At 36.8% G+C, this 15037-nt stretch overlaps 1 protein-coding gene across 14 annotated transcripts in view, besides 1 other annotated feature; it reads right to left on the reverse strand.

The window, feature by feature from the left end:
* The window catches only part of HPSE2 (heparanase 2 (inactive)), an 858875-nt gene that overhangs the window by 415385 nt on the left and 428453 nt on the right, over positions 1-15037 (reverse strand). The window lies entirely within an intron of this gene.
* Positions 1888-2088: a silencer, noted in NCBI's record as "peak1065 fragment used in MPRA reporter construct". NCBI's record gives its function as "represses an SCP1 promoter by STARR-seq MPRAs in K562 erythroleukemia cells {active_cell/tissue: K562}" and the evidence as "EXISTENCE:reporter gene assay evidence [ECO:0000049][PMID:32103011]".

Below are 15037 nucleotides of genomic sequence, written 5' to 3' on the forward strand. Positions count from 1 at the left end.
TTGTCAACTTAAATTTTTCTTTGGAGTAACTTAAAGTGTTACAAAAAAGCACCTTACTTTTTAATGTAAATACTTATATTTACTTCACCTAGGGTAAAAACATCTGTAAAATCTCAGGTCTGATATGCTAGTTATACTTTTTAATCCATAGGAAATTAAATTTGCCCCCTATCACTCAGAGCAACCAGTGGTACATAGACAATATTTTGAGCAATGATAATTTCAATTCACCTCTGTCTCTTGCCATAGCTGACTAGAATATCTAAGAAAATATCCGGAAAATGCTAAGAAAACTACAGCAAGTTCTAGATATTATTTCTTATCAATTCGGAGTACGAAGCTGTCATGTTCATCACTGACTCTCAGTAACTAGAACAGTTTCTGGCAAGTGGTAACTTCTCAGTAAACTTGTATGAATAAACTTATGAATAATTGAAGACCCAAAGATTTATTTACTTCCTATCTTTTTACTCAGCAAATTTCAGAATGTGGCTTCCGTTGAAGGGACACTAAGCAGCATCTGCTTGCTCTGTTTAGAAGGTGAAGAAGAGAAGGCTAAACTTGACCACACTTGGTCATCTTAGAGCCATCACGGTTACAAGGGCCCCTATTTAACTTTACTTAATGCTGGAGTTTTGTTTCCCAAAGCATAGGACGTATAATTTTATGTGGTATATGAATTGATTTCACATGGTTCATGAATATGGTATTAAATAACACTTGAATCCCATAGAGGAAGTTACTCTAGTTTCTTTTTTTAATTTGTATTTGTTTATTTTTATTTTACACTAATTTCCTGGATACATATGCAGAACATGCAGGTTTGTTACATAGGTATACACGTGCCATGGTGGTTTGCTGCACCTATTGACCCATCCTCTAAGTTGCCTTCCCTCACCCTCCACCCTGCAACAGGCCCTGGTGTGTGTTGTTTACCTCCCTGTGTCCATGTGTTCTCATTGCTCAACTCCCACTTATGAGTGGGAACATGTGGTGTTTGGTTTTCTGTTACTGTGTTAGTTTGCTGAGTATGATGGCTTTCAGCTTCATCCATGCCCCTGAAAAGGACATGATCTCATTCCTTTTTATGCATCGAATACTGCATAGTATTCGATGGTATTTATGTACCACTTTTTCTTTATCCAGTCTGTCATTGATGGGCATTTGGGTTGGTTCCATGTCTTTGCTATTGTAAATAGTGTTGCAATAAACATACAGGTGCATGTGTCTTTATAGTAGAATGATTTCTATTCTTTTGGGTATATACCAGTAATGGGATTGCTGGGTCAAATGGTATTTCTCGTTCTAGATCTTTGAGGAATCACCATACTGTCTTCCTCAATGGTTGAGCTAATTTACATTCCCACCAACAGTTTGTAAAAGCATTCCTACTTCTTCACAGCCTTGACAGCATCTATTCTTGACTTTTTAATAATCTCCATTCTGACTGGCATGAAATGGTATCTCATTGCAGTTTTGATTTGTATTTCTCTAATGATCAGTGATTTTGAGCTTTTTTTCATATGTTTTTTGGCCACATAAATGTCTTCTTTTGAAAAGTGTCTGTTCATATCCTTTGCCTACTTTTTGATGGAGTTGTTTCTTATCAATTTTTTTAAGTTCCTTGTAAATTCCTCATATTAGACCTTTGTCAGATGTGTAGATTGCAAAAATTTTCTCCCATTCTGTATGTTGTGTGTTCACTCTGATGTTTTTTTTTTTTCTGCTGTGCAGAAGTTCTTTAGTTTAATTAGATCCTATTTGTCAATTATGGCTTTTGTTGCAATTGCTTTTGGTGTTTTCATCATGAAGTCTTTGCCCATGCCTATGTCCTGAATGGTATTGCCTCAGTTTTCTTATAGGGTTTTTATGGTTTTGGGTTTTACATTTAAGTCTTTCATCCATCTTGAGTTAATTGTGAATGGGAGTTCATTCATGATTTGGCTCTCTGCTTGTCTAGGGTGTAAAGGAATGTTTGTGATTTTTGCACATTGATTTTGTATCCTGAGACTTTGCTGAAGTTGCTTATCAGCTTAAGGAATGTTTGGGCTGAGATGACGGGGTTTTCTAAATATAGAATCATGTTGTCTGCAAACAGAGACAATTTGACTTCCTCTCTTCCTTTCTGAATACTCTTTATTTCTTTCTTTTGCCTGATTGCCCTGGCCAGAACTTCCAATACTATGTCGAATAGGAATGATGAGAGAGGGCGTCTTTGTCTTGTGCCGGTTTTCAAAGGCAATGCTTCCAACTTTTGCCCATTCAGTGTGATACTGGCTGTGGGTTTGTCATAAATAGCTCTTATTATTTTGAGGTATGTTCCATCAATATCAGTTTATTGAGAGTTTTTAACATGAAGGGATGTTGAATTTTATCATAGGCCTTTTCCGGATCTATTAAGATAATCATGTCGTTTTTGTCTTTGGTTCTGTTTATGTGATAGATTACATTTACTGATTTGCATATGTTGAACTAGCCTTGCATCCCAAGGATGAAGCTGACTTGATCGTGGTGGATAAGTTTTTTGATGCGCTGCTGGATTCGGTTTGCCAGTATTTTATTGAGGATTTTCACACTGATGTTCATTAGGGATATTGGCCCACATTAGAAAGCTAGAAAGATCTCAAATTGACACCCTAACATCACAATAAAAGAGCTAGAGAAGCAAGAGCAAAGTGATCCAAAAGCTGTCAGAAGACAAGAAATAATTAAGATCAGAGCAGAACTGAAGGAGATAGAGATCCAAAAACCCTCCAAAAACTTAATGAATCCTGAACCTGTCTTTTTGAAAAGATTAACAAAATACATGGACCACTAACTAGACTAATAAAGAAGAAAAGAGAGAAGAATCAAATAGTCACAATAAAAAATGATAAAGGAGATATCACCACTGACTCCACAGAAATACAAACTACCATCAGAGAATACTGTAAATACCTCTACGCAAATAAACTAGAAAATCTAGAAGAAATTGATAAATTCCTGGACATATACATCCTCCCAAGACTAAACCAGGAAGAAGTCGAATCCCTGAATAGACCGATAACAAGTTCTGAAATTGAGGCAGTAATTAATAGCCTACCAACCAAAAAAAAAACCATGACCAGATGGATTCACAGCTGAATTCTACCAGAGGTACAAAGAATAACTGGTACCCTTCTTTCTGAAACTCTTCCAAACAATTGAAAAGGAGGGACTCCTCCCTAACTCATTTTATGAAGCCAACATCATCCTGATGCCAAAACCTGGCAGAGACACAACAAAAAATGAAAACTTCAGGAAGTTATTCTAGTTTCAATCCTCCGTGAATTCTATTTGCATCAAATAAACACTTGGTTTGGCACTAGGTGATTATCTCTCAAAAACTTCACCAAGCAGGCAACAATATGTAATTATATTTAAATAGTATTGTTTTGTTTGTCATTTGTATCTATGTTTACAGAGTAATATACTACAGTAGTTAGGCATTACAGGCTTTGAAGTCACTCAGCTTGAATTAAAAAAATACAGGTTTGCTAACTATTGACTGATTTCTTGGGTAGGTTTCTTCTGTGTCTCTTTGCTGTCATTTGTATATGGGTCTAATAATGGTACCTACTTAATGGGGTTCATGTGAGGATCAAAGACCTAATTCATGAAAAATAATATAGTATGAAGCACTAGAAAATATTCAATAAATGTCAGCTATTGTACTTACTTTTAGGAGGTGATAATGGTTTCCCATTATAGGAAGGAGTTAACTTTATGTTTAAACAAAATTTGAGAAGTAAAAAAAAAGTGGTCAATGTGGAGAAAAATATTATAGTATAGCTAGTAGAAGGCTATAGCTAAAATTCTTATGGTGGTGACTAAATTTTGGAAAGTGCTATGCTAGGCTGTTAGTTATAAATGAGTTAACCAGTTCTGGTAGGGCCACCAAGAGGCAGCGCCTTCCAAATCAAATGTTCCATGGAAATACTCTAAAATTTCTTAGTGACCAGTGAACTTAGCACATAACTTGGCACATGGCATGCACTCCATAAATATTTGTTGAATGATGAATTAATGCATTTAACTGACATGCAGACCAATAGAATCTTCTTGGCTAAAACCCACCTTTTCTATTTTACTTTTTAAGGAAAATATTGAGCCTATTTTCAGCCATCCCATAGCCTAACTCTATGCAGACTGAGGGTGGATTTTTTTAGTCATAATAAATGGCAACTTTGCCAACTGTACATTAATATTCAAAGCATATGAATTTTCTTGCAAGCAGCAGCATCAACAGAATATCTTCATGGCTGACTCACTAGAGAGCTCTGTCTCAAAATATTACTTGCAGAATTGTTGCTACAATCTTAGCTGAGATTATTAACAGTTGAAGAAATTGAAGACATACTACCTCTCTCTACTTTTCTATGAATTCCAAGTTCTATTCTCAGACCAGATAAAACCAATAGATGACTATTTACCTGAATCTCATTACTTAATATCCTGTACATATGTCTTCACTGAGCTTTTCTGTTACACCTCTGAAGTTTATTAATAGTATTAGGCATGACCTTTATATAGGGCATGCTATTGAATATTTTGTAAAAAAAAATCCATGTTCAAAAACATTTTTTGTTGTGAAATATCTCTTATATAAGAACCTGCTGTACAAATTCTTTTTAGAAAATGAATGAGCGTCCTTCGTTCTATTATAAAACGAAATTTATTTGACTGACTGAATTTCCTTTTTACTCCTGAGTGATGGAAAGCTTGAAACTTAAGTTAATGTCCTTTTACAGTAGCACATATTAGCTTGGGTTCTTAAGGGAATATATGCTTCCTATCACCATGACTTTTATTTTAAATTTCTATTTTAATAATATGTTTTCTAGATTTTTTTTGTAAGCCATCTATAATCTTACTTGGAAGCAAGAAGTACTAGAAAGCAGTTTAGGTAGTTTAGAAAAAATGCACACTCAAACTCTCTGTGTTCAAATCCTAGCTCCATTGCTTCTCAGCTGCTATCTTGACATTTTGTTTAATCTTTCAATGCCTCTTTTTCTTATCGATAAAGTGGGAACAAAAATAGGCCCCATCTCATAAGTTTATTGGCAGGATTATATCAGTTAATGTTTAGTATAGTGCTTGGCAAATCATAACTGAAAAGAAATATTAGGTATATTTCAAAACTAAGGAATGTGACAAATAATAAGTAGGATATAATCATTATGAAGAATAAACTGATAAAGAATCGATATAGCTAAAAATTAAATGTGCAGTTTTCTCACTTCCAAAACTAACATACCAATTTTTTGTAGGATTGTGATTTGCCCAGGCCTGTGTTCTAGTAGCAGATATGCAATGAGGGAGGGTACGTTCAGGGCAGGTTTCATGCAACCTTTAATTTATTCAGTGTCTATTATGTTCTTCACATGATGCTGTGGGCTGTGGGGATACAGAAATAAACAAAACAAAGTCTTAGCCAAATGGATAACTTTCTAGGTTTAAGGCGGTCTAAGAGAAAAAGGTTAACTTCAGGGAGAAATAAAATCCAAACCTCAGAGAATGCTAATATAGAGTAATTCCAAGAGAAATTATGTGACCTGGAACTTCCACTTCCAGCTGAGATAGAATTACAAGAAACAGAATTACCCTCTTGACTTAAACAACTGAAAACCTGGACAAAATATACAAGACGTTTCAAATCTTTGACAACAGCCAGCACAGTGCTGTGATCACTGAGAAAAGAAAAACAAACTTCTCCAACGTATTGCCTGGAAGTCGTTCCTAAGTTATAGCCAATGTACAGAATGCTATAGGAGGATATAATAAAGAGATCTATTTTTTTTCCTGGGAGTCATGAAAGGCCTCCTTGAGGAAATGATGTTTATGCTGAGACTTGAAAGATTTAGTTATTCACTCAGCAAGTACTGTTGAGCATCTGTGCATTGATTGTTCTAAGTGCTAGGTGGCACAGTTAAACAAGAAAGACAAGGTAGGTACTTGCTCTCACGGAGCTTATTTTCTGGTGGATGAATAAGAGATAAGCAGGACAAGTTGGCTAAGGGTAAAAGAATGTTCCAGACTGAAGAAAGAGAAGGTTCAATGACCCACAAGTTGAAGAGATCCTAGTGTATCCTAGTGATTAGACATTTAGTTTGATTAGAATGAAAATAGGAGTTTGTGGTTGAGGAGTTATGACTAAACTGGAGAATGATGCAGGGATCAGAGCATGCAACAGGTTATAGGCCATGTTAAGAATGTGATGCTTTATCATAATGATAATGGGAAGCCACTGATGTTTTTTAAACAAACAAGAGATCGAATCAATTTTGTATAATTAAAACATTACTCTGGCTCCAAGTCAAGAATGAGTTGGAATGGGCTAGAAGCAAGGAGATCATTTAGGAAGCTAATGCAAATGCCCCAATAAACGATTATAGAGACTGGATTACAGTATAAAGATGAGTGAGAGAGACTGGAGGATAGATTAAATATCTGGCAAGAGAGGAAAGGGAAAGAGGGAAGTCAAGAATGACTTCACTGTTTCTATGTCTAGCAACTGGGAGAAGAACGATGTCCTTTATCAAAGAGATAATTCTAAAGAAGGAGCATATTGGGAGGAAGACAAAATAAATCCAACTTTGATAACATTACACTTGACATGCCTGTGAAATATCCTAGTGGAGCTGTCAATGTGGTGAATACACACGTCTAGAGCTCAGGAGGAGAGTGCCAGCAAGATATGGGAGTTTTTACCATGTAAATGGTATAGAAGTCATGGATGCAGATAAAAGAAGCCCTGTCACACCATGGTACATGTAAGTATACTATTTATTTCTTACTTGTCTGTATGCTCAGTAGTTTGTTTTAAGGTGTTTCACACATATCTGCATGCTGTAAGAGATGCTCCTAGTCTGTGATTTCCTATATACTACTTCTGTTTCTTTGTAGCTTCTAGAATAAGCCTCTATACACAATACATACACTATAAACATTTTCAACAGAGAAACCAGAAAACACTACTCTTGTTCCAGCTGGTGTCTGGTGAGGACGCACTTTTTCCTCCCTTACAGGTATAGCATTCCACATTTGAGGCAATGGATTTCTTAGGAATTACAGGAATTTTGAAGGATTTTTTTTTCCTACCATGATGTGTATCCTGGCAAAATAAATATGCATTCTCTTATTGGAGCAGGCAGCCAGGAATGTAGAGCTCTGGGAAATCCCTGAAGTAATGAGCTCTGCAGTGTAAAGACCCATGTGAATCATTTTCAGGCACAAGTTGATTGAGCTTGTCCCTAAATTAGAAATGGTTTTATGGAGCAAACATTTGTGGCGTTGGTGGACCTCAAGAAAACAGACTTACAGTTGACAGTTTTTTAGTTAATACTGGGAAACAACAGTTGGTGTGCATGTGCGTGTGTGTGTGTGTGTGTGTGTGTGTGTGTGTGTGATGTGTTTCTGCAGAATCCTACTCCACCAGGGAACATGAGTTTTACATTACAGTTGTTTGCCTTTCTGTACATGACTTTGCCTTCAGTCTTTCACTTGCTGAAGCTGCAGTGCTGCTCTATTCTGATGTTACTTCAGTGCAGCTGGAGGCATGTCTTTTGGCAAGGTTCTGTGTTTATTATAATCTCTGTGATGTAAATTTCTTCTTTAACTTTCTCTTAAAATACTTAGAATTATGAATGTGATTTTAATTAGGGATTTCAAATAGAAACATTTCCTTTTTCTTAAGACAGTTTTCAGTTAGAATATTTTAGGGTTTTGAGAAATACCAGATCCCCAACTCAAAAAGTACACAAAATAATCATCAGTTACTCCTTTAGGTTGCCACGGTGTGGCTGAGGTTGCAGGGCATGGATTTGAGTTATAGTCACAACTAAGTATCCTGCAACTCTTTTTTGCCCCCTTCAAATACCTACAACCTATTCACAGATTTGGAAAACCTTTACTACATCACATCATGGGTATTTTTCCTTTATGTAAACTCATGCCTGTTAGGGTTAGGTCTTGCTCCAGGCCTGGCATTTCAGTTCAGATACTGTTTTTGCCTCTTTTAGACTTGTGACTTTGTCACTTAGCCTCTATGAATCTCAGGAGCTTCATATGTGTAACTCAGATGTCCTGCTCTCACCAGGTGCAAAATGAATATTCAAAATTAAATGACTCCATATGCCCTGCTTCCTTTTGATTATCAAGTATATATAAATTAATATGCTTATTTTTACATGGAAATGACTCTGCAGAGCCATTACAGAACCCAAGTAACAAGTGTTGCCCCAGAGGTGAACTGAAGATGAGAAGGAGACTTATTTTGCACTGCATATCCTTTTGTACCATTGGAGGTTTTTTCCATGTTTAAATATGACTTTGTTAAAAACAAAGAAGCAAAATCAATATGAATAAAAGCCCCCATCTTGTGAACTGTGAGAAATTTTATTTTCTTAGTTTGTTTTGTCAGGTATTCCTAAGATTGCTTTCCCAGTCCTAATTGGTTAATCCTCTCTACTATCAATGGGAAGTCTGCCATGCCAGCAAAGGATGTAAACCCTGCTGCTGTTGCTGCTCTCTCTATCCCATAGCGTTGTTCCTCTATTTGAGGACAGCTCTCAGGACCCAATAATCCCTGCCCAGAAGTATAGCTTTGTTTGCTTCCAGATCTGGGCCTTCACCCTCCTTTCTCTATAGTCTCTGGCCTCAGCACAGGCTGCAAGCAGCTGTGCAGGAAGAACATAGAATGATGAATTCATAGAATTAGCAGGGCTTTTGGGAGGTTTATTCTTGCTGGAAGCAGTTGGCTCTGTTCTTATGGGTAGGGATTCCACGGCTTCCCTTGGTAGATCAAGTCCAGTCAAGTCATTCCTTCCTACACTGGCAATATACATTTCAGTCAATGACATGGATGAAGGTAGGGGTTGCACATATGACAGGAAGTTGGGAGGGATGTGCTAAGTAATAAAGTCAGGATCCAAAACTATCTGAACAGGCTGCAACCAAATTAAATATAGCAAGATGGGCCTAAATACACATATAGCTAAATGATTGGTTACTTGATGGGAAGAGATGTTTGCATATCAGTGTGGATGAAAGATAAACTAGGATTTTAGGTGACAGTGAAGGTACTAACAAAACATTAATGCTTAGGATGTTTTCGAATAATAATATAGAATGAGAACTGTGATAATTCCATCCAATTAGACCATATATAACTATTGCTTTCTATATCAACATATTACTTTTGAGAGAGACAATAATAAACTGCACTTATAGGAGAACAATCAAAATGGAGAAGAACCCGAAATCACTGTGATGATGTTTAGTTATGACAGCTAGCCTTTGTTTACCAGTTTCTATGTACCAAACATTCTCTTGAGTGCTTATACTAGTTTTTGTTGCATAACTGTGTAGATTACATTATTTTTTAGTAAATATTCACTCCTCCCTCCCCTGCATCCATTGGAAGTGTATACTTTTCCACCCCATTTGATGTTGAATGTGGCTATGTGACTTGTTTTGGGCTCATGGTTGGCAGAGTTTACTTCCCCTCCTCTGGACTTTGGACTTAGCACAGGACTTTCTGTGACCAATGGTAAGCTAGCAGAGGTGACAGGCAAAAGCCCAGCTTTTTGTGTGTCTTCTTAGTTGGCTTTTCCCTCCTACACTCCTGCCTTTCTCCATTAGATAAGCATGCCTTGGGTAGCTGCTAGTCTGAGTAAGAAGGGGCATATTTGGAGCAGACCCAGAACCGATCAGCAGCCTTTGGAGTGAATTCCAGCCAAGATCATTCTAGATCAGTTGAACCTCAGCCAACCTGTAGACAAGGGAGCTAGGAATAAATGTTTATTGTTGAAGACTATTGAGTTTGGGGGAGTTTGCTATGCAGCACTATTGTGGCAATAATTGATTAATATACTAACAGACAACCTCAAAGTCTCGATGACTTACAACAATATTTTTTTTTTCTCAAAAGTCATGAGTCAGTTGCGGCTCTGCTGGATATGGCTGAAATAGGCTAGGCTTGGCTTCAGATTGTAAACTGGGTTCGAATCAGCTTTGTGTGCTTTCTTATTTTCCTTGTACTAGTGACTCTCTGGGGCATGTTCTTATAGAAGATCATTAGAGTGTAAGAGACTAGAAAACCATGCAAGTATGTTTAAAGTTTTTCATTATATCACTTCTGCTAACATTCCATTGGGTAGAGCAAGTCATTTGGCTAAACCCAACATCAATGAGACAGGAAAGTATGTTCTACTCACAGTGGCAGGCCCAGCATAGTGGCAAAGAGGATAAATGTAAAATATTTTAACACAGAGAGTTTATGGGAAGTTCAGAACAATGACTGTCTAATCTAGCCCAGTGCTCTACACGAATTATTTATCTATTTCTTTACAACAATACTATGGAATAAACACAATTTCCCTATTACAGTTTGGGGAACTGAGATACAGAGGAGATAATAACTATGCAAATATCACAGTATTAGCAGGTTGTTGTTATAAGATTTGAACCTTCAGAGTATGATGCCGAAGATTGTATACTTTATCAGTCTGATTCACCTCCGCCCAAACATGTCCTGTGATCAATGTTTAAAGCAATAAGAGCAGTTTTGCATGGAGAGGAAAAGCCATATGTTGACCATCTTCCTAGCTCTGAAGGGCTATCATATGGAAGAGAGAGACAAGATTTGTTTTATTTGTTGTAAAAATGTGGTACCCTTGGTAGAGGTAGTGGGTTGAGAGATCAAAGGAATATACATTTTGGCACAATTTAAAAAAAAACTTTTTTAACAGTAAAAACTTCTCAATGATGGCTTGTATCCAAGTAAATACCTAGGTGACCACAAGGCATGGGTGTTATAAAGAAGATTCCAAAATCATATGGAAAATATGGTTAGCTTGAAAGATAGTTAAAACCTAAAATTCTTTCAGCCAAGAAACTTTATAATTCTATGAAAATTATTCTAAAAACATAGACATTCACTGTAAGTTAATAACAGCTTTTATTACAGTAGTAATAAAGCAGAGTTTTTCAATGTCCAAAATGGCTAGAAACTTTTAGAGCTAGCTAATAATTAAGAATCTTGGCTGGGTGTGGTGGCTCACACCTGTAATCTCAGCAATTTGGGAGGCTGAGGCAGGAGGATCACTTGAGGCCAGGAGTTCAAACCCAGCCTGGGCAACATAGCATGACCCATCTTTACAAAATACAAATAAATTAGCCAGGCATAATGACATGTGCTTGTAGTGCCAGCTAGTCGGGAGGCTGAGGCTGGAGGATTGCTTGAGCCTAGGAGTTCAAGCCTGTAGTGAACTATGATTGCACCACTGCACTCTAGCCTGGGAGACACAGCAAGACACCAACTCTAAAAAGTAAAATAAATAAAATAATAATCCTACAATGGCCTCTAAGTGTTTAAGTGAAAGAGTCACATGTTTCTCATTTTAAATCAAAAGCTCAAAACAATTAAGCTTAGTGAGAAAGGCATGTCTAAAGCTAAAGCTCAAAGCTAGGCCTCTTATACCAAACAGTTAGCCAACTTGTTAATGTAAAGAAAAAAGTTATTGAAGAAAATAGAAATTTCTACTCCAGTGAACACAGAAGTTATAAGAAAGCTCAACAACCTTATTACTGATATGGAGAAAGATTTAGTGGTCTAGATAGGTCAAACCAGCCACAGAATTCCCTTAGGCAAAAGCCTAATCCAGAGCAAGGCCTTACCTCTCTTTAATTCTCTGAAGGCTGAGAGAGGTGAGGAAGCTGCTGAAGAAAAAGTTGGTTCATGAGGTTTAAGGAAAGAAGCTATCTCCAGAACATAAAAGTACCAGATTAAGCAACAAGTCCTGATGTAGAAGCTGTACCAAGTTCTCCAGAAGATCTAGCCAAGGTAATTGTTGAAGGTGGCTACACTGAACAACAGATTTTCGACGTAGTTGAAACAGCCTTCTATTGGAAGAAAATGCCCTCTAGGACTTTCATAACTAGAGAGAAAAAGTCAATGCCTGGCTTCAAAGCTTCAAAGGATAGGCTGATTCTCTCGTTAGGGGCTAATGCAGCTGGACTTTAAGTTGAAACCAGTGCTCATTTACCATTTCAAAAATCTTAGGTTCTCTAAGATTTATGCAAAATCTACTCCATCTGTGCTCTATAAGTGGAATGACAAAACCTGGATGACAGCACATCTGTTTACAGCATGGTTTACTCTAGCAGTCCTCAACCTTTTTGGCACCAGGGACTGGTTTTGTGGAAGACAATTTTTTCATGGATGGTGGAGGTAGTGGGGTGTTGGCGAGGAGGACGGTTTCAGGGTGAAACTGTTCCACCTCAGATCATCAGGCATTACTTAGATTCTCGTAAGGAGCACACAACCTAGATCCCTTGCAGAGATCCCTCTGACAGAGATGTACAAAGAGACTTGTGTTGTTTTTATGCCTGCTAACCCAGCATCCATTCTGAAGCCCATGGATCAAGGAGTAATTTGGACTTTCAAGTATTATTATTTAAGAAATACATTTTGTAAGGCCAGAACTGCCATAGGCAGTGATTCCTCTGATGGATCTAAGCAAAGCAAATTGAAAACCTATGGAAATGTTTCACCACTCTAGATGCCATTAAGAATATTTGTGATTCATGGGAGGAGGTCAAAATAGCAACATTAACAGGAGTTTAGAAGAAATTGATTCCAACCCTTATTGGTGACTTTTAGGGGTTCAAGACTTCAGTGGGGGAAGTAACTTCAGATGTGGTAGAAATAACAAAAGAACTGGAATTAGAAGTGGAGCCTGAATATGTGACTGAATTGCAACAACCTCATGATGAAACTTTAATGGATGAAGAATTGATTCTCATGAATGAGCAGAGGGAGTGGTCTCTTGAGATGGAAACTATTCCTGGTGAAGATGCTCTGAACATTGTTGAAGTGACAGCAAAGTATTTAAAATATTACATAAGCTTAATAAAGCAACTGCAGAGTTTGACTTTAATTTTGAAAGAAATTCTACTGTGGGTAAAATGCTATCAAGCAGCATCATGTGCTACAGAGAAAACTTTCATGAAAAGAAGAGTTGACCAATATGGCAAACTTCACTGCTGTCTTATCTTAAGAAATTGCCACAGCCACTTCAACCTACAACCACCACCACCTTGATTAGTCAGCATTTGTCAACATAGAGACAAGGCCCTCCACTAGTACAGACATTACAACTCACTGAAGTTTCAGGTGATTGTCAGCATTTTTTGCCACTAAAGTTTTTTTTTAATTAATGTATGTACTTTTTAAAGACATAATGCCATTTCATACTTAATACACTATAGTACAGTATAAACAGAATGTTTATATGCACTGTGAAACCAAAAACCTCATATGACTTGCTTTATTGAGATATTCACTTTATTTTGGTGGTCTAGGACCAAACCTGTGTATCTCTGAGGCAGGTCTCCATCCAAATTACTTTCATCTCTGTTACTATGGTGAAATCTGGAGACAGTATAAAATCTGAAAGGTGTTGAAAGTTTAGATGAAGGGCCAGCTATTGAAAAACAAACACCCTCTTAGTATCCATATTATCTGCCAAAAAATTCATAGTCAATTTATGAGCATCTTTTTAAAACTTTAGGATGAAACAAAACTAAAAATTTCTTTTGAGGTATCAATATTAAGATACACAAAAATAAGAATTTTATAAAGATGTTTATATATGAGGTCTTAGTTCACCTCCCCTAAGACTATTTTTGCCATAAATTCTCATATATTTCAGTTACAAATCTCCTGCCACATGGTTTTTCAAAAACAAGTGTGCAGAGGAAATACTGTAAATATTCATATATTGTAGCTATATTCCAGATACATCCAAGACACATAAGGTAAAAACACCTTTGCTGGGATTAAATAAAAGGCATGCAAATCTAATCTAATAGAACATATTTAAAAATGTAATTGCACTACTTTCACATATGCCAAAGTTCACAAAAATTTACAGTGCATCTATTATGTATAATGCCTTAACACTACAGCAACACAAAATGTCTAGCCAGGAATTAAAGTGTTATTAAGAGACAGAGGAGATACATGCTAATGACTCAAATCAAGAGTGTAGTAAGGAAAGAGTGCCATAGAGAAGGCTCATGGCAAACGTTAGGAAGATTCAAAGGAGAGAGAGAAAAGAACTCACTAGGAGGAGCTTTGAGATTCACTGATTCAACAAAGAATCATGAAGTTCCTACCGTGTTAAAGGCTTAGTGCAAAATACTGGAATGGACTGATTGGTAAGCTAATCAGTAGTGGAGATAAAAATTGAGAGAATCGGAAAAGCATAAGACAAGAACAGAGTAAATGTCTTTAAAGTAGAGTAGGGCTGGTAGAGCTCTAGGAGAGCTTCCTCAATTCAACAGGGAACTGGAAGTCAGAATATTTATTAAACAGGAAGTGATAGGATGAATCATGGGTCTGGCATTTCAATGGTATTATTTGCAATGAGTTATATGCATATGAAGATTAAATGATGTGGTCAGATCTTTCTCAATCTTTTGATTTCTGAAGAAGGCAAAGCAGACTTAATGGTTTTGGATCCTCTGTAAATTTATAGAGATAGTACAAAGGAATGCCTCAGAAGCTGTCACAAAAAGTCACAAAGTTGAAATGATTAATATACCAAACAATGAGTTTTCCTATATCACAAAACATCATCACCTCTGATCAATGGTCTTATAGAACACAAACATACAGTATTAGTTCATTTTTTCAGGTCAAGGCTAAGAACCATAATATCAACTTTAATACTGACTAAATTCCAAGACTGGATCTCAGTTTATCTCAATTTCCTCAGGTCATTAACCTTCTTTATTTCTGCAGTGGGGAAAAAGATAATATGGCCTACTAGCTCCACTATTGTGTGAAAGAACTAAATAACACTGATGAAGAGGTCTAAGACATGGGAAGTGCTAAATTTAATTATTTACTATTAGCATCTCCTCTCCATGCAGATGTTTCTGGTTTTAAAAACGTGAACCATGTGGACAACGCAGGATCAGTGAGTCTAGTAAATGAGGAAGCAAGAAGGGT

The sequence above is a fragment of the Homo sapiens genome, chromosome 10 (genome assembly GCF_000001405.40).
Source record: "Homo sapiens chromosome 10, GRCh38.p14 Primary Assembly".
NCBI lineage: Eukaryota > Metazoa > Chordata > Mammalia > Primates > Hominidae > Homo > Homo sapiens.